Source organism: Homo sapiens, chromosome 12, assembly GCF_000001405.40.
Source record: "Homo sapiens chromosome 12, GRCh38.p14 Primary Assembly".
NCBI classification, from domain to species: domain Eukaryota; kingdom Metazoa; phylum Chordata; class Mammalia; order Primates; family Hominidae; genus Homo; species Homo sapiens.
Window position 1 is genome coordinate 116994946 of NC_000012.12, and position 25182 is coordinate 117020127.

The window sequence follows — 25182 nt, forward strand, 5'->3', positions numbered from 1 at the left end:
CCTTGGGCAGTGGTGGATGGCAGGGCATCCCCTTCCCCTAGTGGTTCTTGGACGGCTTTTCTCTGATAGGCTTTACAGAAAGATCACAAGATGAGGCCAGCGGGGATATACAGAGATCTGACTGGTCCTGCCCTTCATTTAAATTATTTTTCAGCTCTCTGCTTTTAGAGTGAATGACTAGAACACATGACTTCATCTAGAATCAGTGTAGCATGACTGACAGCCCTATCCGGCCAGTGTCGTGGTGGCAAGAAAGATCGGCAGCGTACGCGGACATGCTCCCCTTCTGGGCTTATCTGGGACCCATTTGAGGAAGAGCCCACAATTCTTTTAATCTGACCTGCCTCTTCTCTTCTGTAAAATGAGGAGGGTTGAACACATGACCTTTGGGCTCCTGTCCCAAACCCTGGATTCTTTAAGCCATGTAGGTGGTTTAAACCTTTTGGCTGTGGAGTTGTGTTGAGCCAGTCCACTGGAGGATGCTGAGTTGCTGAGGGCTTCTGAAATGGGCCGAGGAATCCATTATTCTATCACTTCTTCTCTAAGTGTCGCCCAAGAGTTCCTAACAGCTGTGCCTATTGCTGGCAGAAAGTATTGGGCAGGAAATGTTTGGTATTTTTTTCCTCAGTTCCTACGTCTTGCCTTGTAAGCTGTATGTAGGAAGAAGGGCTGCTTGATGGTTTTTTACTTTTGGACAAAAATGAATTCTTAAATTAAATTGGATTCTTAGGTTCTGATGTTGCATTCTTGGGTTCTCAGACTTCAGTGACATACAGGACCTCACAGGTAGTCACTGCTAAGTGGTATATGATTGTAAAAGAAAACAAAGGTAAAAGTAATTCCTCTGGCCTCATCTCTTGTCATGCTGTGGTGCAAAAGTCAGTGTGAACGCTGTTAATGTAGCCTTCGTGCCCAAGCAGCCCTTTAAAATCTGCTTTTATGTCTCATAGTTCCTGAAATCTATCAAAAATACTTTCATCCATGGACACATATTTATGATACCATATAATCTTTATTAATTCTTTTGCTGCCTGAATTAAATTCTGCTCTCAGAGGTGGAGGGTTAGAAGACCGAATTGCCTTGTTTAAGAGCATTAGGTTGATGACGAGCCCCAGGCCTCATAAAGGAAGAGAGAGATCCACTTAGGGCTCTTAGCATCATTCTATGTATTTGGACATATTTCCTAATTTAGGTCTGAAGTACTTGGCATTTGATGGCAGATTGTATTAAGCGGCACACGGCGTGCATCCTAATCAGGGAGCTGTGAGTGAAGTAATCCAGGAGGCTGGAATGCGTGTGACAAGGACGCTTGCTTGGCGCTGCTGCCTCAGCTTACATCACGCTGGAAAATCATTGCTAACGTCTCTTATGATAATTATTCCCCATACACGGACGTGAAGAGACTCTGGATTGGTTGCTCACACTCATCACGAGTTGAAATATCTGTCTGGGAGAGCCTTAGGAATCAGAAATGCAGTGCGCATAGATTGTGGCCACATTCTCCCATACCTCCACCCGAACAGGAAATCCATCTTTCCTTTTGTTCCATATTCTAGTCCAGAGAACAAAAAAAAAACTTGGTATTTTACAAGCAGGATGAAAATGAAATTAGATATTTGCTTTGTGAACTTTCCATTTAAAAATTTTAAATGAAAAAAATTGAAAGTTCACAAAGTAAATGTCTAATTTCATTTTCATTTTTACCTTAAACCTTTAATGTTTTTAATATTTATCTGCTTCCTGGAGAAGTGTAGACAGATAACTCGTGGAGACCAGTTTTCTGGGCTGTTGAGTGATGCTGACTCCCAAAGGGTCCATTGTTGTTGTGAGGGTTGCCGTCATTGTTAATGAATGCTTATTGAACACATGCTGCGTGTGCAATATCTGATTGGCACTGGAAACATAGAGATGAGTCAAATATCACATCTGCCTCAGGGATTACAGCCTTGTGGTCCTTAACAGCGACTTGGCGATGTAAAGGAGGCGTGTTGAGATGGAAACGAGGTCATAACAAGACCTTCGTGATGAACTTGGTGAATTCCAGACTGATAGAAAATCATGTAGATAAATAAATGAGGAATGAACATTCAAATGCATTTTGTACATGTTTAATATTAAAATAGTATCCATAGTTGATATAATTGTTAGTATATGGTTAATAATAAATAATAAATACAGTTCTTCTCACTTGTGAAAACCCTGTAGCACCTCCACAGAGCCCTAGAGTTTCTCAAGACAGAGCGAGAAACCTCTGGCTTAGATGCTTTTGAGGACTGGACCATCTCTGATACTCTGTACAACTGATGGGTTATTCTGTGAAAAGTGTCGTTTGGAATATTGCATCTTATTACAGAAGCCATGATCTTTAGGATCTCTAGGGATCCTGGAAGGGAGTGATAAAGTTACAGAATGTAAATATAGGGGAAAGTTCCTTTCAGCTATAGTCAAGATAGCAGTTGTGTCACCACTGGAGACTGAGCAAGGGTTCTGCAGTCAGGTAAACCTTAGGCAAGTCACTTGCTTTGGCATCCCCATGTGGATACTGGAGCTAATACCCGAGAAAGGTAATGTCCTTTGTATGTGGCTGGTGCTCAGCACTTGTTAGGTGCCTCCTTCACCCCCGGTCCCCCAGCTTTGGGGTCAGGTTGGAGTTCATCAGGCAAAGCCTGGGAGAGAGCAGTCCAAGCAGAGGCAGCAGGGCCTGTGGAAGGGGGTTCCATCGGCTGGAAGCAGCACCAGGTATATTCAGGCCTGCAGGAGCACCAGCAGCCCTGGGCTGCTGCAGGAGCCCTGCTGAAACCATACCTGTAGGTATAGCGGCCCATGCTGCTTCACAGGATTCACTTTCCCAAGAATTGTTTTTGTTGTTGTTGTTTTGTTTTTTTGAGAGATGGAATCTCATTCTATCACCCAGGCCAGAGTGCAGTGGCGCCATCTCAGCTCACTACAACCTCTGCCTCTCGGGTTCAAGCAATTCTCCTGCCTCAGCTTCCCCAGTAGCTGGGACTACAGGCGTGTGCCACCATGCCTAGCTAATTTTTATATTTTTTAGTAGAGACAGGGTTTCACTACATGTTGGCCAGGCTGGTCTTGAACTCCTGACTTCAGGTGATCCGCCTTCCTTAGCCTCCCAAAGTGCTGGGATTACAGGTGTGAGCCACCGCGCCTGGCCCCCAAGAATTGTTTTAAAAGAATGCATTTATGGTAGAATGGGACAGGTCAATTTAGCTTCCATGCAGAACTAATGGAATAAGCTAATGTGAATGCTGTCACTTCATATGAAACCCTTCAAGATGCGAAGCCTTATTGGAGAGGGCTGGCACCAAGTCTTAAATGTCTTTTGTCTTTATTCACACTTGCCTAGTTCCTGTATGCCAATAACATCTGTACCATTTTCTAATTTTTAAAGGAATTATTCAGTCTTCTTGAGACTCTAAGTTTACAGAACCATTTAGATTGAAGAATATCATGTTCATTGCCTTTCTTGTCTTTTGGCTTTCAAATTAAGCTTAGAATGTTATTTAGAGGCTGGTTTTTCTTCCCTGATGGTTTATGTGGAATTGCCTTCCTGGTTTACCATCCTATACCATGGAAGAGAATGAACTTAGCGCTAACTCCATTTATTTCACCTTCACAGATGTGTATGGCTTTGGTTTGTTTGTGCCAAATAAGCCTGGGAGTAAACACTGCCCAGGCATTGTTAGTGTTAAAAATCAGCTCGTTCTCCAGTTCATGGGGAGCTAAGGGAGCCCTATTAGAAATGTTTGCCTTTGTTCCAGAGGTGAAAACACGAAAACACTAGTGCTGCAGAAGAGGCTGTGTGCTTCCCCTGCATGTCCAGACAGTTGAGACTGATGCTGGTTTGGGGCAGAGTAGGAGCAAGAGGGCACTCAGCAAATGGCCTATGTGAGTTGAATTTCTGAATATTTAAAACATTTTACTGTTTTCAAAATACACATCGCAGCTTAGACTCACAAAATATTACCAAGTAGAGAACTTTCACTTTTTATTCAGTACATAGATGACTATGATTTATTAATTTCCTCCGCACTTCAGTCTTCTATAGGGCACTGTGTTAGAGAGTGGGTTTGTAATTAACTTATCAATTACTGAGTTGCAGATGAATCCTTCTAATGGACGCAAAGTTACTCTTTAAAGCATTCCCTCGATGTGTTATTAATTTACAGGGTAAATCCCCTTTGTAGAGAGCAAAGGAAAACTCCTGCTCAGCCCACATCTGAGCGGTCGCATCCCAAACTAAGGGACTCAGGAAGAGCCATGAGGCTGAAGGTGCATTAAAATGAGGAAGTGGGCTGTGTCCAGAGAGCTGCTCTGCTGGACCTGGCTTCCAGCCTTAGCTTGCCTCTGCTGCAGGAGAACTGTGCCAGGGACGTGGGATGACCGACTGGCCCCAAACTGAATTCCTCATCCAGATTTCTTTGGGTCTTTGCAGGGTTAGGCCATCTGGCCCGGGTGGCTTCTTTGCACTCTGCTGTTTGCTTGGGTTTGAACTCTTACTGTGATCTCATGATCACAAGTTTTAAAAGTATGTTGAAAATGACATGAAAATAATCCCTCCCCGAGCGCATTTCCCCTTCCTGGCTCGCCCCTGCCCTTTCCCCACCTTTATACTCTTGTGGCACCTGTCCACCTGTCAGTGCCCCTCCTCACGGTCCACTTCAGGTTTTCTCAGAGCACTGGCTGCGTGGCGAGGAGCATGGGTAAGGCCCCGGTGCCCATCTTCAGCCTGGCCTTCTAGACTGTGGGGAGTCAGGCCCCATCTTAGCTCCTAGCTCTCTAGTCCTGTGCTTCCAGAATGAGACCCCTGCTCCAGCCAGGCCAGCGCCATCCTCAATGTGCCACATTCATTCCTGACCGGGGACTGGCACTAGCATCCCCTCTTCCTCTCCTGTCTTGCCATGTCCTTTTGAAAAACAGTCCTACTTAACAGAAGCAGCCTTACAAACTATCTGCCTCTCATTGAGCATCAGAGCTCTGGCCCTGAGCTTGTACAGAACACAGGGTCTGCATCTCATTTTTTTTTTTTTTTTTTTTGAGACGGAGTCTCGCTGTCTCCCAGGCTGGAGCGCAGTGGCGCGATCTCTGCTCACTGCAAGCTCCGCCTCCCGGGTTCTCGCCATTCTCCTGCCTCAGCCTCCCGAGTAGCTGGGACTACAGGCGCCCGCCACCACGCCTGCCTTTTGTATTTTTAGTAGAGACGTGGTTTCACCGTGTTAGCCAGGATGGTCTCTATCTCCTGACCTCATGATCCGCCCACCTCGGCCTCCCAAAGTGCTGGGATTACAGGCGTGAGCCACCGCACCCAGCCTGCATCTCATATTTTCATACCGGCACCGCCCAGCACTATTGCCTCCCCAGATTGGCAGCAATTTGGAAGCAGGAAGTAAGCACTGATAGCTGAGTAATACTTACCACTGTCATGGCTGAAGTTCTTCGTTAGCCTGAAAGGCAGTATAGGTAGAGCACAGGGGTTCTCACATGCCAGCATGCATCAGAATCTACAGGAGACCTGATGAAAACACTGAGCACTGGCCCCACCCCCGGAGCTTCCGACTCAGTGGGTCGAGGGTGGGGCCTGAGAATTTGCATGTCTAACAAGTGCCCAGAGCAGCGGAGGCTGCTAGTCCTGGGACCACACTTTGAGCACCCTGGGGTAGAGGTTTAAAGAGTATGAGCTTTGATACCACCCACCCAGGTTTGAATCCTGGTGCCAAAACTTCCTAACTGGGCAAGAGGTTTGAGCTCCTTAGGGCCCCATATTCTCCTGTGTAAAGGGAGTAAAATCATGGTACCTATCTTACAGCACTGTGGAGGTCAGGTGAGATAACGCATCATAGCAGTGTTTTGCATGTAAGAGAATATTATAAATATTAGCTGTTATTAATAACTATTTTGGTAGGACAGGAAAGACATTGTGATATGGTCACAAAGTGGCGCAGGAATGACACGAGCTGCGCTCCACCTAGTGCCACCTCAGCTCCTTTTGTTGCCCATGTAATTTGGGGCAAGCTACTTAAAATTATTTAAGCCTCAGTTTCTTGATGCACAAAATGTAGGCAGTAGTATTTGTCTTCTCTCCCTCTTGGTGGTTGTGAGATTCAAATGGAAGGATATTCCGAAGGAATTTGTGTGAAAGGCATGTCCTGGGTATTACAAAGAGCTCATATGTGTAGTGTTTGTTTATGTGCAAAATGCTGCTAAGCATGTCTCTGCCAATACCTCATGCACCATGTAGAGTGAGTAGAGGCCGTTATGCCTTAGGGAGCTGGGGGGAGCCCCTGGGTGGACCTGCTGCCCTCCACCAAAGGCCCTGATTATTCGCTGCGGCTTCCCAGTCTCCCCCTGGGGCTATTTGTTTCAGTGATCTGATTTTAGCTGCCTGCCTGCCCTCTTCTAGAAGCTTTTGTCCAGTCTAACTTTGGGCCAAACTAGAAGTTGCCAGGCTAGTCAAAAGAAAATCGATAACCAAGCTAGTGTAATATACTGAATTTCATGTGCAATGTTCACTAAGTCCTGTCGGCATACAGATACTTGTACATTATGAGCATCTCATGGTAACCTTTTCATTTTCAAAATAGTATGCAAGTTGCCTTTAATTTTAAAGAGTTCACTTCATAGTTTGCAGCCTCAGTTTTCACTCCGTAAGATAGATATTATAACCTTCTCTTGGTGATTATTTCCGTGTGTCAGTGTTCCTGGCATTTTGACACTGCCCATGCTCTCTGTGGGGATGAGGCCTGTTGGGAGCATGAAGGAGGGTGTAAGGATTTTCAGCTCCCAGTCAGTCATACATTTGCACGATGGTTATCATCTCTTCGCTGGACTCACTGCTCTGACATGAATATTCCCTGTTTGTGTTATGTGAGCATTAACCAGGTCTTCATGATCACATTTCTTACCCTTACACCAGCACTGAGACAAAAATGATCCCAAAGCAAAGAGAGAACCATATTCTGCTCACTCCACAAAGTAGGCCTGGCCTTCCTTTATTATTCCCAGCACCTACGGACGTGCTGAGAGAGAGAGATTGGCCGGTTTGGATGGTTTTTGCCTGGATTTGTACCCGAGTGTACTCTTGCTCTGTGGGTTCCTTTCAGGCTTAGGTCACAATAGGTGTTGGTTTGGCCTCACTCCGGTCCTTTGTAGACATCTGCCCACATCACAAAGCCCCCATGTTTGGCACAGCCCGCAGCAGTTGGCACTGCCTGCCCGGGAAGAGTCCAGTCCTGGAACAGCGGGGGTTGCAGGTGCATTGGCACGTGGTGGTGGGGAGCGCACACAGGCCTTGCCTACCCAGCGCCTGGCGACGCTCAGCAACACCGTCCCATCCCTGAAATATCTTGGCCTCGTGGGCTTGTCACTCCAATTAAAACTTAAACATGAAAGCGGCTCAGGCTGCTTCTCCCTTTGTGCTGAATTTGAGCATGGACGGTGCCAGAAGCATGTCGTGGAGACTGTTAAGGGGTGCCATGTTGCAGGGAACGTTGAGGGGGTCAGGGATCCATTTCTTCAAGATTTGCATCTTGCCGGTTGCTGCTGCGAAGTGCACCTGAAAGGCAAGCTTCTGTTTGCCAACAGAAAGTCACCTTTGGGATGGTGGTGAAAGTCATTTTCCACATGTTCACAGATACGGCCGTGTTACCAAGCCTCACGCTATGACTTATCTCTGGCAAGGACTTACAAAATAGTCTCTCTGGCTGATTGTCAAAAATTACATCATATCGGAGTAAACTGCTTTTAAATCAGACATCCATTATTCATGTATATTAACTGCATTTTTATTTTTTTATTGGCTGTTTTGTGTATGATTTACTCTTTTGTCACTGGCTCCCCCTCTCCCCAGTTGTCTATCTTTCTCATTCCTGTTTTTTTAAAGTCTTAGCTCATCTGTGAATTTATAGAGACTGTTCACCTAGCTTTGTGCATGAACGTTGATAGGCACACCTTGCATTTTTGTAGTTCAATTCCACGTTTCTGTGGATCTTACTTTTGTTGGGTCAGAATAGCAATGTGGGTCGTTTATGTGAGTAAATTCTACCATGAAGATGTATAGGACTTTTTCTTTTGTATCTTTTGTTTTTTAAAAAGGAGCATCACTAGTCTTGTATGTGAAGATCTGTACTGAATAAAAGTGTACCTGGCACTTAGCAAACAGCTGTATACATTGCAGTTGGTGGACAGCAAATCGACTTTGTGTGTTCATTTGTATGCGTGAAGCCTGTCTTTACTGTAAGGCCAGCATAGCAGTCGCCTGTAAGGGGTAGATACACGCAGACATGTACAGTGTGTATTCATCTGCTCATTCTTTCATCACCTGTATACTGAGCCCCTCCTATGTGCCAAACACTGCACAGGTATCCAAAGGAGCTTCTGTTCCTTCCAGACAGTGCGGGGGGCGCACCCTGGGCATCTGGCATCTTCCATGGTTATGGTACTTTTTCCTGATTCATGGCATTTGACTGGTTGGAATAAAGACTAGGTACAGATTATTCTATGTATTTAACCCCCAAATCAACATTGTTTTTGCAGACAGCATCTGGATTCTTTTATGCTCATTACTTGAATCTTTGTTGACTATTTCTTCCAGCACCTCAGACCTTTTTTCTGGAATGATTTTCTGTCTCCCAAAAGTGCATTCTTTAGAAGTTTCTTTCATAAGGACTTGGTCACAAGTGTTTTCCGTGTTTCTTTCTTACAGCACCTTCATTTCATCCTTATCCTTGAAAGGTAGTTTTGCTAGTCTTTTACAGTTCTAGCTTGACAGTTATTTTTGCTCAGCCTTTGAGGATATGACTGGTTTTGCCTTCCACTGACACTACTGACGAGTTGGCTGTCAGTCTGTCATTCTCTTTTAGGACTTTCTCTCCTTTTGACTGCTTTTAAGATCTTCTCCTTGTCTTTAATTTTCTGTGGTTTCATGCCAATGTCTCTTTGTATGTCTGGGATTTATTTATTTATTTTTATACTGTCTGGGATTTCTTGTGTGTCCCTCCTTTCAGTTGTAGAGAATTCTTGGCCCTTATCTTACTGGAAATGTATCGCGATGCTCTGCGTGGAGCTCAGGGGAGGTGTGCATGAAGGCAGCTTCTCCCCTCCTCCGTGCTGCTCACTGCCCATTCAGATTTCCCATCTCTCTGTCTGTTGCATTCCGCCCAATTCCTCAACTCGGTATTCCAGTCCACAGTTTCTCTCTCGGACTTATTTCTTGCTTATCTCATCCATTGACTTTTTAATTTCTAGAAATTCTCTGCTTTATTTTTCAAATCTGCTTAATCCGATTTCCTACTTTTTATCCTCTCCCTCTTTTATCTGTAAACATTTTCAGCATGCTTATTTTGTATTCTTTATTTGATCTTGCCTGGAAGTCTAATTCTCCTTGTTTTTCTGTCTCACATATGATATATCACTTCTTGCTGTATTTGGATTTTTTAAATTGTGAGCTAATACTCAGTTGATCTTGATTTGTAGGTTTCTTAAAGGGGCCTGAGTTGAAATTGTTTCCCTCCTGAGAAGATTCTGCCAAGGTACTGGGAGGTATGTTACCAACCCGAAAATACTTTATTAGGCTTGGATTCTTTTAGCCTTGCAGGTGGTGTAAACTCAAACCCAGAACTTGTGTGGGGGCAGACATGTGACTTCAGACTGTTTTCCACCCCGAACTGAACCTGAGGCAGACACGTTTCTGGGTAAGCTCTCTGCACCAATAGATACTTTCCCCATCTTGCTTGCTTTTTACTGAATGTATGTAGCCCTGCAGGGACCCAACTGTAGGTTCTACTTCATGCTGGGCAGATGCTTGGTCTCCTGTTTCCCCAGCTCTCCTGTTTCCCCAGCTCTCCAGGCTCCTGACACTGGAGGGAGGGTCCAAACTAGCCCCTGGCTTGAATGCTCTCTTAACTTCCTGGGTTTCGTGCTCTCTTCATCTGGGTTTCATGCTGTCTCCATTTTGGGCTCCTGTGAATTTCTCTGATTGCTTATTAAACAGAATGTCTGAAGGACTGTTTGATGATAGGCTGAGTCTTATCCAGCATGGTCACTGTTTGTAAATGGCAAGGTTTTCCAGACATTCTTGTCTGCCATGTTGTCAGAGGTGGGACTGTCGGACTGGATGTAGTTGGGGCACTCTGGCATCTGAATAGTATGAAGAGATCTCTGTGGAACCATCTTCTGTTTTGGGTAGGATGGAGCAGTTCCTTTGTACATACCAGCAGCAAGATCCAGGAGTGGAGGAAGGTGTTAAAGCACTAAAAGCAACATCTGAGTATCTTTGGGGTCTGAGACTATAGGAAGCTCTGGATTTGCCTGGCATCGTGTACCAATCAGTGAGCCTCCAAACACAAATGCAGGCACTTAGTGAGATGCGGGAATGTGTAACTGACACTGTACCTGGCATGTACTGCCCTTTAATAATTGCCACATGAATGAATGAATGATAGGATCTCTGTCCCCAGGAACCTTAGAGTTAGGAACCTTAGAGTTGAAACCTAGGAGAGTGTTACAACGTGTAGTGTGATGCGGTGTGGTGCTTGGTAATAGTGCTGCAGAGCCTCCCCTGACCTGCTGGAGTCACCGCCTCCTCCCCTCCAGTATCTGAGAACCACAGATCTGGGGAAGAGCCGGAAGAAGATAAGACACAGGTCAGGGTGACCTTGTCGAAACACCACGTGATGCGTGCAGACAGCAAGGACTGTCAGCACTGACCAGGGGAATGGGCACTATGTGCCAAGGACATCATGGAGAAGAGAGCACAAAGGCAGCTGGAGTGGACGGAAAAGAAGAGAGCAGGCGGTTTAACTGCCTCACTGCCCAGCATCTGGCCTCTGATCACAACTTCCCTGTTCAGAAGAGCCAAGAGCCACATATGTGAGGCAGGTTACTAGGGATCAGAAAAGAAAGTGGGTAGATGGTATCATCTTCAGGAAGTGTAGTCACATCTTCCTCTCGTGCCTCTTCTCTTATACTCCACTCAGCCCAGCACAGCACCTCCTAACCTTTGGCTCTCTTTGCCACTGCCCTTTTTTAAATGGCGGCCAACAAATCATCTTCAATTGAAAAAGCTTTTAAAATGCTATTGTCTTGTAAGGAAGCCTTCCGACTCCTCCTGGGCTCTCTGGACAGACAGTGCTGGGCTTCTGGGGAGCTGAGCCAGCTGCTGGGGTGGCTTAATGCCTGGTGGTGGTTTAATGCCTGTAGCAGGTATTTGAGTATGAAGACTCAGTATTTTGGTAAAATTAAAACACAGAGTTCCTTTCCTCATTCATCAGTATAGGACCAAAATTCTGAGAGGGTAAGGCTCTATCATCTCTTCACAGTGATTTCAGTATGCAAGTGGTTCATGATTAATTATGAGGGTGATAGCCCCCAATTTAGGAAGAGCTTGCAGTGTTAATCCATTTCTTACTGGGTGAAGGAAGAAGTTGGTCTGCCTTGAGCTCACCCCGCCTCCCACCCCCACAGGGACAAGAGCCATCTCTCAGCTCTTTCCTTCACAGTTTGCCTGGAAAGCCAGTCCAGGCCACACCTGGATGCTGCGGGGCCCGCCTGCCCACGGCGGTGGCTGATGCCTCCCAGTTGTTGGGCCTGTAGCTGGTGTCTCCTTCCTGACTCTGGACCACCGCCCCTGCTGCTTAGGACACCAGCTGCCAGGACATGGCTAGAAGATGATCGGTGGGTCTCCTCAGAGAGGCAGGCCCCGTCTATGGAGGAGCAGGACAGCTGACGGTCAGGCCCCAGCTGGGGAAGAGGTGGGCTCTGTCAGCTGGCAGCAGGCTGGGACTTCTGCATGTCACCCAGCGTCCCTGCACGTTCATTCCAGTGCCTAGAAGATGATTGATAAATATCTGTTGGCCAGCTCTTGAATGAATCACAGCATTATTTATTTTATCTAAAAATTATAAACAATCCATATGGAGTTGTGTATCCACAGAGAAATTCTACACAACCATTAAAAAGAACAAGATCTATCTATAGGTATTGACACGTAGGGAAAAGGAGTTGTGAAATAATCCCATTTAGGAAAAAAATGTGTATACACACAGAGGCAGATGTGCAGAAGAAAAGTCAAAGTATATATATCAAACTGTTAAAAGTGGTGATTTGTGAGAGATGAATATACAGAGGGCTACCACTTCCTTTATAGAATTCTATTATGTTAGAATTTGTTGTAAGATGTATCATATTTGAAATCAGAAAAAGATTTTTAGAAATAGATTTCAGATACATCAGAATCATTGACAAAATTGCAAGTTAAGATTCTAAGACCAGGATTTATGGAAATACTTTAAGATCTCTAAGAAAAAAAAAAACAGATGAATAGAGAACTTTCTGCTAGAGTTCTTTTTAAAGATAGTGCTTGCTTTTCCCCCATTGCCTTCTAGGTCTACCTGCAAGCCAAAGAGGAGGAAAAATTCTTCTCTGTGTCATGCATTTCCTATAGTTACCATTGTAAAACACACAACCAGCCTCAACATGGTTTAGCTGTTTTAGCTAATTCTTACAGAAACATCTATTGCCTGCAAAAATTTGCTCTGTAATTACTGTTCAAGTGCTTCTCTAATATATACCTGGTACTTAAAAGGAACCATCCTCAACATCATCTTTGGCAGCTGCATTAGTGCAGAATATTTTCTCCGGGATTTGTGCTGGGGTAGGTTTTTCCAGCATATCTGTACACCTCTGAGAATGAGTCAAGTGGTCATGGGTTGAGACTCACCCAACTAGGGCAATAAAGAGAAAAATTAGTCTAATGCATGGTCTTAACAAGAGGGAGAGTGTGAGCATGAATAATTAATCTCACTAGTCTATGGCAATCAGATAAAATGAAGTCCCATTTGCTCAACCTTATTAAAAGAGAGAGAGTGCGTGGGAGGGAGGGAGAAATGGTAAAGGTCGTTAAGGGACTCGTAACGTGGAAAGAACTGCCTTTGAGATGGGTAATGTGTTTTCTAATCTCTGTGGTCTTTAACTAAACGTCATGGTAAAGGTACTCTTCAGATAGTTCGGATTCGTTTGAATTATTAAACATTTTAGAAAATACTGGACTCTGGACTACTAACTTAGATGTCTTTATGATGAATTTGCAGAGAGTCTTTTTGGAAAGGGATTACATCTCACTATATCACTAAGAAATAATTTATCCACTTGTCAAAAAAGAACAACTGGAAGACATAAAGACACATGGACCTACTCAGTATCAGATTTCAGTTCTTAGATTTACCATCAACATTCTACCGACTTAAAGGCCTTACCTTCCTGCTGCAGAAGTTGGAGTATTTTAAAAACAAGAGAACACTTGAAAGTGGATGCAGAATACTACTTTTATAATAGAACGTGAGGTTGCTCTTTTTATTTTCTCCCTCCAGGTGCCGATTTTATATAATTTTTAGGTTATTCTCTGATGATAAGAGATTTGGTTATTTCTATATACTTACTTGGAAGAATAAATTTACTCTTGATATTTTAAAATTGTTGAAATGTTCTGCGTCAGAAATTTTTCTTTTCAACTGCAATTGTTCTCTGTAGTCTTTATGGATTAAGAGGGCATTTTAAATTTTGAAATTGTCCTTCTTCCTTCCAGATGCTGTTAGCAATAGTTAATATTATAGTGTTGTTTTGACCATTAGAAACTTCCAAAGAAAGATTCACTTGTTAGAAATGTATGTTGACAGGATTGATTATTTTCAAGGTAGAGAATATTTAATTTATTATTAACTTCTCAATACTAAAGTAAAAATCTGTATCGTGGTAAGTGATAAATGTATAGGCTGACAAGAAGAAACGCACATCACTCTCATGTGTGTGCTGAGAGGAGAAATCTTTCTACAAAATACTACTATTAAAACCTTTGGCTGAGGCCAGGCGTGCTGGCTCATGCCTGTAATCTCAGCATTTTGGGAGGCTGAGGTGGGAGGATCACTTGAGGTCAGGAGATCGAGACCAGCCTGGCCAAAATTAGCCAGGTGTGGTGGCGGGCGCCTGTAGTCCCACCTACTCAGGAGGCTGAGGCAGGAGAATCGCTTGAACCCGGGAGGCGGAGCTTGCAGTGAGCCAAGATCGCGGCCACTGCACTCCAGCCTGGGCGATAGAGTGAGACTCAGTCTCAAAAACAAAAACAAAAACCTTTGGCTGGGTGCAGTGGCTCAGGCCTGTAATCCCAGCACTTTGGGAGGCCAAGGCAGGGGGATCACTTGAGCTCAAAAGTTTGAGACCCGGCTGGGCAACATAGTGAGACCGCTTCTCTACTTAAAAAATTTTTTAAAAAAGAAAGAAAGATATCATCAGCAGGCCGTGGTGTTACACACACATGGCCCCAGCTACTCGGGAGGCTGAGTGGGAGAATTGGCTGAGCCCAGGAGTTTGAGGCTACAGTGAGCTATAATGTTGCCACTGCACTCCAGCCTGGGTGACAGAGCAAGACCCTGTTCCCCCACCCCCTCAAAAAAACCAAAAACTTCTGAGTTCATTAATTTAAAAATGTCAACCACATGATCTCCAGGATAGAAAGTATGCTCAGAACTTGGTGTGTTTGTGTGTGTGTTAATGAGGAGCCTTCTGAATGTGAATTTGAGGCAAGGACTCTGTCCTCAGCACCTACGACAGTGACTGACACATAGGAAGCATTTAATGTTCTTTGAATTAAGTTGAATTGAATTAATACTTTTTAAGCAAAAAACGTAAATTTCCCCCTGCTGGAGAGAAGACACAGAGGTGTTCTAATATAACAGTGCATTGTCTGGAAATCAGGGGTACCTTCTTATTTACTTTCATACCCTATGGAACACAGCATCCTAACATTAGCAAGCAGAGAGTGAAGAGAAAAGTGTTTGGGAGTGAGTTTGTGTTTTGGTTTATAGTTCAGTCCGAAGGAAGCATCCAGTGGCTATGCAAGCTTCATCTTCCTGGTCCTTGTACTATTCTTTCTTTTCCCGCCTGTGACGTAAATTCAGATGAGAACTCATGCTGGCTCATCTGCAAGCTTCCTGATGCTTTGCGAGCTTTCCCATTCATTCCAAATCAGAAGCAGTCAGTGGCCCCGTGGTTTCCAGACGGCTTTCTCTTTGTTAAGAAATTAGAATACCTGATTTCCCTGCGTTTTCCTTGTGGCCTGAGTGTGCACCTTGGCTTGAGGAATTCGCTGGATTTCCTTCTCTCTTCCTTTGCATTTCTTTTTGGCACTCTTAATAGCCATGTCCCTATACTATCAGTAACCTGAAAAAGATCAGGAAATTAAGTGGCAGAACATCTTCACGGGAGCTCAGTGATAAGGATCATGCCCTCCACGATGGTGAAATGAAAGTATTTGATGTCGGCCTGGTGTGTGGAATTGTGGGCCCACACATTTCTCTTCCTCTCTCAGATCCTGGTGTATAGCCTGGAAGCAGGACGCCGCCTCTTGAAGCTGGGTAACGTTCTCCGTGACTTCACGTGTGTCAACCTCAGCGACAGCCCTCCCAACCTCATGGTCAGTGGCAACATGGACGGGAGGTACGTGAGTTGGAAGGGCATTGCCTTGCAGCCCCATGGCTTCTGCCAAGGCCCGGCCCCCACTGCGCTGCTCACACTGCCCGGTTCTCACTCAACAGCTCTGCCCACCTGAGTTCAGCCCCGATCCCATAAACACTCTAGACTCAGAGAACAAAGTCCTGTATTAGGTAATAGTTGGATGTAGCTATGTCTCTGCTTCATTTCTGAAGCACCACGGGAAGGTTTTCTTTTAAGCCATTTGGTGGCCGCAGTTGGTAGAAGGTCCAGGGAGACCACTTGGAATATCTTTTGTCCCCTGCTGCAAAATTTGTTTGGCACTTGAAAGCTCACTTTCTAATATTAAAAACAGTAACCTAAGGGATGAATCATGTTCAGCAAAATAGGGTTTCCTGCCAAACGATGTCAAGAGTGTATTTCAGAACACGGTGGTGTCCCTCTGGTGATGGAAGGAAAGAGAGACTTCATGTGAACAGATTCCACTTTCTATTTAGCTGATTAGCAGCCTTCTCTTTAATGCACTGGCTTAGGGAGTCGGATTTTCCCGGTATAGGGGCCTGTGCCAGCCCCGGGCGCCCCAGGAACCATCAGCACAAAAGGATTAAAGTGTTTGAAAAGACCCTTTGAGTCCAAATTTTAGGTTTCTCCCCGCCTCTTCTTTCCTTGTTTTTTTCTTTTCCTTTTTTTTTTTTTTTGGCCAGTTATCTGCTGTGTCTGATCCAGTGCCCTGAAGAGAGGTAGCATGGCTGAGGGCCAGGGGCTGCTGGCGCCCCCTCCCCTGGGCCCGGCCCCGGGCTGCAGGTGGCGGGCTGCTCGGAGGCGGGTGTCAGATCGTGAGGCGGGTACTCCTCTGTGCCAGATCCCAGGCCTCTGTCCCGCCAGTGCAGCAGCTTGCAAAAATAGTTATTCTGTCAAATAATATTTTCACCTCCCAACCTTCACCCCTAGATACCCACCCCCAACTTAGAGCAAGGAAATGATGTGAGTATGCTTTATTGGGAAGAAAAATAAGGCCTCCTAAAATGGCTGATGTTCCGGTGCTTGAGAACTGAACTCCTCAGTGTGTGTGTGGGGCACGCACTGGGCTAGTTCTCTTTAGAAACTAGGCTTGATAAGTGGCCCCACATGTGGCACGGCAAAAGAATCAAGTCAGTTTGTAGTTTTAATCCCGCATTTTAGTTTTCAGGTTGAGCTATACAGAGGCTCCAAGCTCCTCTCCTAGGATCTCCACACAGGGACCTGGCAGCTGCTTGGTTTTGAGGAGAGGCGATGTGGAGAGCTCTTTGGGATGGTGGATGGTGCTCAGAGTTTGCTTGCAGTGTGAACATTTATATCTTCAGCCACAGTTAGGCTCACCGGAAACCAGAAGGGTGTTGTGGAGAAGAAACCTCTGTTTTCTGCATAATTTCAAAAATATTAAGAAAAAAATTCTACAAAGTTCCAAAAAGCAAAACTTGAATTTGCAGCAAGCCAAGTACTATGTTGAATCATAATGAAGCGATGTGTAGGCATTGTATTCGCTCTTATAAGTAATCTAGAGATGGTTTTTAATGGAGGATGTGTGTAGGTTATATGCAAATACCACACCATTTTATATGTAAAGGGAGACTTGAGCATCTGTAGATTTTGGAATTGCAGGGGGTCTTGGAACCAATCCCCTGTGGATACTGAGGGCTGACTGTATACACTCAGTAAAGCTGACTTTTCCTCTGGAGCAAGCTGCCTCATTATGTACGCACTGCCAGGGAGGTGTTCCATGCATAGTGTCAAAGGGCTCTCTGGTCAGTTTGCAGTCCAAATCTGACTATGTTAAGTCCATTTTATTAGTAAGCCAATGTTACATTTTTTTTTAAAACGCTCTGTCTCTGTGGATGAAAAGAACAGACTAGTGACTTAGAGTTGGAGGTGGGGCATCCAAATTGGCATTTAACCAGTGTGAGTCCTAGAGTAGTGCCAGCTGTGTGCCCACTGCTGGTACATTAGGGGCCAGCCATCATATGTAAGAATACTCCCTGAGTCAGGGTTGCTCGGTCAGCAGCTTAGAATATAGGGGTTTAAAATCTGTTGTTTTAATAAAAATTGCACATCTAGAAAAAAGGAATGAGGAAGCTAGACTAAGTGTGGTAGAGGGAAGTCTTACATTTTTTCCCCGGAGGTTTAATAGCTATGAGTAAGATCTCATTAGAGATGCTGGCCCAGGCTTGTATAGCTTATGTTTTATGTCAAAAGTGGGAGAAAGGGGTCAAATATTATGAGGAGAACTATGTCCTTGGCTGTCACTTACTGACTGATGCAATTTTTTACAAACCCTAGAACCTTCCTATTTTAAAAACTTAATTCCCACTGCATTCTCTTAGTGCTTTATAAATAACTTGGGAATGAGATGAACTCTAAAGGTACATAAAACTGCCCCAGATTAAGACAAAAATGTTTTCATTAAAGTAGGGAATCAGTTTTAAGTAGTTTGCAAACATGGGTGGAATTTTATAAGGAGTTTTATTTTGGGGGTGTGGGGGGACAGTGAGCTTAAAGTAAAAATGAAAAAGGATCTATCCTATCACTCAAGAAAAACCAGACGCTTGAGGTCAGGAGTTCAAGGTCAGCCTGGCCAGATGGTGAAACCCCGTCTCTACTAAAATACAAAAATTAGCCACGCATGGTGACGCATGCCTGTAATCCCAGCTACTCGGAGGCTGAGGCAGGAGAATCGCTTGAACCCAGGAGGCGGAGGTTGCAGTGAGCTGAGATCACACCACTGCACTCCAGCCTGGGTGACAGAGCGAGACTCCATCATCTCAAAAAATAAAGAAAAACTAAAAAATAAACAGAGTCTGATGAAGAGCAAGAGAAAGATTGGGGTGGAAACTGAGTTAATGTTAGAGTATGCTTTTCCCTCGCTGGGAGGGAAGGCTTGTAAAGATGGGAGCGGAGAGAAAAGTGAGATTTTGCATAGGAGTTTTATCAGTGTAGATCAATGAGTTTTTCTGAAGGCATATTTTGTCTCTTCTCGCTAAGACTAAGAAGAAAGAGCAATGAGTAATGGTACGGGGAGTGATGCACGTCGGCATTAGGGCTGGCTGCTCATGTCCATTCCACTCACCACACTCTCTCTGGTACTCGGCGGGTGCCTAGCACAGTATATTTTCTATTTATTCTAAGATGTATATTAAAAAAAAATTTTTCACATCTATGAAATCAGAATGGACTTTTACAATAGCATCATAAAATGGCAGCATTTTTAAAAGTTACACAAAGTAATGATGCTTCTTGGAATCAGTGGTGTTTTCTTTTTATTTATTTATTTATTTATTTTTTATTATCATCAGTGGTGTTTTCAATGAAATGAAAGTATATATTCACTGAAGGCAACAATGAATTAATAGCTTAGGAATTGGGGCATTTATGAGAAGCTTGAATGAGTCACTAAGGAAAAGTCTGCAGGAAGTAATCACTTGTTTTTTTTTTTTGGTTTAAACCCTGTCTGGGGTTTATTAAGCGTTTAGAATCTGTATATTTATGTCTTTCACTAAATTTGGAGTTTCCTGCCATTATTTCCTCAAATAGTTTTTCTGAATATTCCCTTTCTCCTCTCCTTCCAGTAACCTCAATAATGTAAATATTAAACCTTGTGAAATTTTCCAACAGGCCACCAAAGCTCTGTTCATGTTCTTTCCCAAACCTTTCTTTCTGTTCTTCAGGCTGCATCATCTCCGTTGCTCTGACTTCAGGTTTATGGACTCTTTCCTGTGTCATCTCCATTCTGCTGTTGAGCCTATCCAGTGAATCTTTTATTTCAGATTTCATATTTTCTTGGTTAAAAATTTCCATTTGTTTCTTTTTTTATATATAGTTTCTGTGTCTCTGCTGAGGTTGTCACTGTCAGTATTCCCATGCATTTTACCTTTACCTCGTGGAATATAGCTACAACAAGTTCTTTAAAGTCGTTGAGGGTTCCCAAACTAGCTTATCTTAGGGTTGACATCTGTTAATTGTCTTTTCCCTTAAGAAAGGGTCACATTTTCCCGTTTGGCTTTTGGTTTGGGGTATGTCAAGTAATTTTGAATTGTGTTCTGGACATTGTGGATGTTGTGTTTTATACACTCTGGATCCTGTTATGTAATCCTCCAACGAATGATTTTTGTTTTGTTTTGCTTTTGAACAGGCAGTCACCCTGGTTAGGTTCAGACGGCAAGTTCTGTTTACCCTTTGTGGGTGGTGACTCCAATGTCAGTTTGCTTTCCAAAGCTGTTCAATTTCTATGCTGTTTTTGGTCTGCGCATGTGCCACATGGGTTGGCAGTGGTTCAGTCTTAGTTGAGCTCTTAAAGCCGTTGCCGTCCTGCTTTGAATCTGTCCCACATAGCCCAGGGATGAGCCTGGGATTTATGTGGGTTTAGACACAGTATTATGGGATCCCTTTCTTGAGATTCCTCCTCTCTCAATCCTTACACTTTCCAGCCTTCAGGGACTCCTATCCCTTACAGTTCTCTGGTCAGAAAGATGGGGTTTCTATCAGAGTTCTACCTGCCGGCATCGCCGCCACCATGCAGCATGTGACTGGGGACTGTCCTTGGGGCACAGCCACAAGAAAGAGAAAAAAACCTACAATAACCCTCACCCCTATTCTTTGAGGACGGCAGGGGCCCCCTTTTGTTCCTCTAGTCAGAAAGATGGAGTTTCTATTGGAGTTCTAGCTTCTTGCACCACCACACAGTTCTGCATGTTGGAGCCCATACTCAGGGCAAGGCTGCAAGAGGAAAAAGGGAAAAACATGGGAAACTCTTCCCCTGTACAGCCACTTCCATGGGTTTGACTCTCCTCTGCAATCCATCAGCTTGGGTTGACTCCCCAGAGTCCTCAGGTGTTTGTTTTTGTGTTTTGTCCATAGGTTTTGCTGGCAGTCGGCAGGAGAGAGGCAGCAGTGGGCTTACTCCGTTCTGGCCAGAATCAGAACGTCCTCCTTTCTTTTCAGTGAATTAAGTCAGCACAGTAGTTGGCAGTCAAGGGCTGTATTAAATGAGGGCCCTTCCTATTCTGTAGCTCTCAGGCTTCTCATCTGTGATCTGCTCATTTTCACCGTGCAACTGGGGATCTCGCAGGGAGAAGCTTATCCGTGCTGTGCTATGGAGAACCAAGAGTTGGTGCTAAGGGCAAATGTCAGGCTGTAACTGGGTTGCTAAGTCACTGAGCCAGCAAATTCCAGTGTTTTCCCCCATGGTCTCAAGTTTAGCAGCTGTACTGAGATTTAATTTACATGCCACATAATTCACCAATTTAAATTGTACAATTCAGTGTTTTAAGTAGGTCCACAAGGTTGTGCAGTTATCACTACAGTCCATTTTAGAACATTTTCACCCCAAATAGAAACCCCAAATCCATTAGCAGTCACTCCCCAGTTCCCTCATCCCCTCCAGCTTTAAGCAACCACTCATCTACTTTCTTTCTCTGGATTTGCCTGAACATCTCCTATAAATGAAATGATGTAATCTATGACCTTTTATGACTGGCTTATTCCACTTAGCATGTTTTTAAGATAAACCCAAGTTGTAGCATGTATCAGTATGTCATTCCTTTTTCTGGCCAAGTAATATTCCCTTGTACAGATATACTACATTTTCTTTATATCAATTAGTGGACATTTGGGTTGCTTCCACCTTTTGACTATTATAATGCTACTGTTATCATTTATGTGTAAGTTTGTATGCATATTTTCAGTTCAGTTGGGGAAATACACTGGGAGTGGAATTGCTGGCTTATGTGGTAATTCTGTGTTAAACCATGTGAGGAATTGCCAGACTCTTCTATAGTGGCTGTACCATTTTACATTCCCACCAGCACTGGATGAGGGTTGTAGTTTCTCCACCTCCTCACCAACACTTGCTACAGTCTCGAATTCTAGATTTGCATTTCTCTGACAGCCAGTGGTGATTAACATCCTTTCACGTGCTTATTGCCTGTTTGTATATCTTCTCTGGAGAGATGTCTATCCAAATCCTCAGCCCATTTTTTAATTGGGCTGTCTTTATATTATTGAGTTATTAGAGTATTTTTTTAATATAGCCCAGGTACAAATCTCTCATCAGATATGTGATTTGCAAAATATTTTCTCCCATTCTGTGGGTTGTCTTTTCGCTTTCTACATTGTATTCTTTGAAGCACACAAGTTTTCAATTTTGATGAAGTTCTATTTGTCTGGTTTTTTTTTTTTTTTCCTTTTGTCATTTGTGCTATGGATGTCATAGCTAAGAAACCATTTCCTAACCCAGGCTCACAAAGATTAACTCCTAAGTTTTCTTCAAAGGGTTTTATAGTTTTGGCTCTTACACTGAGGTCTGTGATCCATTTGGAGTTAATTTTTGTATATGGTGTGAGGTAGAGACCTAAACTTCATTCTTTTCCATGTGGATATCCAGCTATCCTGGCACCATCTGTTGAAAAGACAATTCTCTCCCCCATTCAATTGTCTTGGCACCACTGTTGAAAATCAATGGACTGTAACTTTGAGGGGTTATTCCGGACTCTCAGTTCTGTTCTGTTGATCTGTATGTCTGTGTTCTGGCACTACCACGCTGTACAGCTTTTTGATTACAATACCTCACCCTTTCTAAAATAAGTAATGTAACAGTAAACTTCCAAATGTCAGGCATGTTGAATAGTGTCACTGTATATGAAAGTAACAGTATGGATGTAGGAAATACTCATGACTTAGTTAATAACTAAATGTTTTAGTATTTCCAACTTGGGACCATGTGCCCTTTTCTTGGCATTATATACATTATCATCTTTGTCCACTGAATGGACTTGTTATGGATCTCAGAATTTTGGGTCTAGTAGACCTCTTCAAGACCATCTAATGCCGGTCCAGAAAGGTTCAGTGACCAGTCAGTCCGAAGGGCTTGTTAATCTTGGCCACATAGAATTTTATGTTCTCTATACAGAGAACTCTAAACTTCAGAGATACAGCCTTAAAATACAGAGAGCACTAAGCTTAGGCTAGCTGCATTAAACTGGCAGTTCTACCTGAAAATACACTTTTTTCTAGTTGCCGTTTAAAATGAATCTTTCACCAAAGGCCATTGTCAGTGCTTTGTAGATAAAGCTATTGATTTTGGCATATAAGGTTATATTTAAAATCCTCTTTAATATTTAATAGCCCAGGTTCAGTGAGAGCAAACAGAATCATGTATTGATTTCTTTAAAAAAATACTATTTTTAAAATTAATTTGGTCATAAAAAAAGCCTACATTGTAATACCTTATTGCTTGTTCTCTTTGTTTTCTGGGTAGAAATATTAGCAGAAGGTCAGGTCCTCCTTAATGAAACTGCCGAGCCAGACACTGAATAGGCTTCAGCTTGCCATCAGCTACGGTGTTCCTCATTATCATATGGGAGTATTTAATCCAAGCCAATAGGAAGCACGCCCTGAGTTGTGACCCCCCAATTACAGAGTCTCAGTGCTTGCTTCTTGCCCTGACAAATATAAAGTTGTGTGCTGTGCTCGTGCTACTGCTGCCTGCTGTTAGAGAGAGAGTGATTGGGGCGTAAATGTTGCATTTGCTCCATCTGCAAGTGTTATAATAAGTTATTCAGAGCTCTTAACACAGGACCAACCAGAGCGTGCCTCCCTCTCGGTTCCAGCACGTTTTCCTGCCCATCAGATGGATGCTCCTCTGTTGGAGTCTTTGGAAGGTTCTGGTGTCTTTTGTTTTAATTGGTGGGCTACCGCCGACTCCTATGGTGTGATTTTCATTAGAGAGGGGCTGGAGAGAGGGAGTGTTGGAACTGTCCTCCAAGCCCAACCATGAATATTAAACATAATACAATTACAGCTTTCAGACCAATTATTTTTCCTTTCAATGGGCAAAGTTGATGAAATACTCGCTAGATGGGGATTCACAATATCTACCATTGGCTCCTCTTTGTCCCTGGAATCGGTTGTCTTGGCATATTCTGGTGCCCATTTGCTGTGCTACCTGTTTCCCAGCGTCGAGTATTTGGTTTGAGTGCTGAGCTGACGACGGGCTTTGCCAAGGCGCACGGCATTCGGGCCTGTGCTGCGCGCTGTCAGATGTCCGAGGCAGATACCTGTTTCTTCATGTGAATCTGAATGGCTTGGGTGGACTTAGCACACTGTGCTGTCTGCTGTTTCTGTCGACGAGAAGCCAGAGTGGTGCTTCTCTAAGGAGATGTCAGAAAAATGTTTTTCCTTTTTCCCAGGGGGGAGAAATTCAAGGCTGGTTTGGCCTATTTTTTTTTCCTTAGTGATATAAAATACACTGAGGCCGCATCTTTTGGTTTATTTGTTTATTTTGTTTGGAGCCATCCATGCTGGTATCTAAATACAATAGGAAAACAGATGGCAAACTTTGAACTTCTGGACCAAATTTGTGTTTGCCTTTGTCTCCTTAACAGCCAAACTGTAAATTATGGAGTATAAATATTCAACAGAGGAGCTCTTTATGGAAATCACCATAGCTGAATAGACTCTGATTAACCAAATATGCACTGAAAAGTACTTGGTAAACACTTCCGCTCCCCCTTTCCCCAATCCTTTTCAAGTTCCCATTATGGACTAAGGTTAGAGTTCTCTTTACAGCATTTATACTTTTTCTCTTCTCTTACCTACGCATGCCTAAGGATAGGTGTCTGTAAACGTGACAGAGAGAGACCTTTGTTTACAAAGTCATCTTCAAGCTCTCTCTGCATCTTTCTGCTCCCAGATCCCTCACTGGCAAGTCAGGGACTGAGCAGCATTTGTAGCAACGGACCTATTATGTATCATCTATACATTATCATCTGTGTCCACTGGATGGACTTGTTATGGATCTCAGAATTTTGGATCTAGCAGACCTCTTCAAGACCATCTAATGCTGGTCCAGAAAGGTTCAGTGGCCAGTCCGAAGGGCTTGTTAATGTTGGCCACATAGAATTTTATGTTCTCTATACAGAGAACTCTCAACTTGTCCCTGGAATCGGTTGTCTTGGCATATTCTGGTGCCCATTTGCTGTGCTACCTGTTTCCCAGCGTTGAGTATATCTATTCACTTGGGTTGCCTTGTCAGTTACATGGCCTAGCAGGAAGAAGAAACAGTCTCTCCTCTGTGTCCTAAAACGACGTGTTGTTCCATCCTGTTTTATTTCACCTTTTCTAAGAAATAGATGAAAGTATTATTTTTTAATTATGAAACCGAACATATGTATGGGAGTGTATATAAGGTGCGCATACAGTTTCAAGAGTAACCGAGAATGCCCGCGCATCCACCTCTCAGCTCAAGAAAGAGAGTGTGACTGTTGAAGGCCTCCCGGTCATGAATGAATTCTTGTTTTTTAAACATGGCAGCGTCCAGAATAAAACACAAAAGCCGCCTTTATTGCCCTCTTTCTTCTCCAAGGTAATTGTTGTTAATGTTTCAAGTACGTGCTTCCAGAATTTGATCTTTAAAATTGTTTGGTTTTATTTAAACAGGAAGTACGCACATTCAAAATGGGCCTCAAAAGCAGAGTAGCCTAGAGGGCGAAGCGCACCCCTCTTCCCAGCAGCCTTGTCAGCCTCCCTCATTGCGACTGCTTAAATGCTGAGCGTTCTCTGGGGGCCGCCCACACACGCACAGCCTAAATGCATGTCCCCCAGCACACACCTGTGCGCACGGCTGCCAGTCAGCCTGTGTAGTTCTGCCCCGG

General features: G+C 43.8%; 1 protein-coding gene across 8 annotated transcripts in view, besides 2 other annotated features; it reads left to right on the forward strand.

Moving 5' to 3' along the window:
- Positions 1-25182, forward strand: part of FBXW8 (F-box and WD repeat domain containing 8) — a 120199-nt gene that overhangs the window by 83996 nt on the left and 11021 nt on the right. For 6 of the 8 annotated variants that reach the window (XM_024448937.2, NM_153348.3, XM_017019176.2 and 3 more), the window contains one exon: positions 15378-15505. In XM_024448937.2, coding sequence (XP_024304705.2) covers positions 15378-15505 — 128 coding nt within the window. Of the gene's footprint in view, positions 1-9490; positions 9557-15377; positions 15506-25182 lie in introns of those variants that run through there. The other 2 variants (XR_001748654.1, XR_007063065.1) reach the window with 1 other exon arrangement.
- Positions 11074-11596: an enhancer, noted in NCBI's record as "H3K27ac-H3K4me1 hESC enhancer chr12:117443824-117444346 (GRCh37/hg19 assembly coordinates)". NCBI's record gives its function as "activates a minimal SCP1, AML or CMV promoter by ChIP-STARR-seq in naive H9 embryonic stem cells {active_cell/tissue: H9 hESC(naive)}" and the evidence as "EXISTENCE:reporter gene assay evidence [ECO:0000049][PMID:30033119]".
- Positions 14772-15523: an enhancer, noted in NCBI's record as "OCT4-NANOG-H3K27ac-H3K4me1 hESC enhancer chr12:117447522-117448273 (GRCh37/hg19 assembly coordinates)". NCBI's record gives its function as "activates a minimal SCP1, AML or CMV promoter by ChIP-STARR-seq in naive H9 embryonic stem cells {active_cell/tissue: H9 hESC(naive)}" and the evidence as "EXISTENCE:reporter gene assay evidence [ECO:0000049][PMID:30033119]".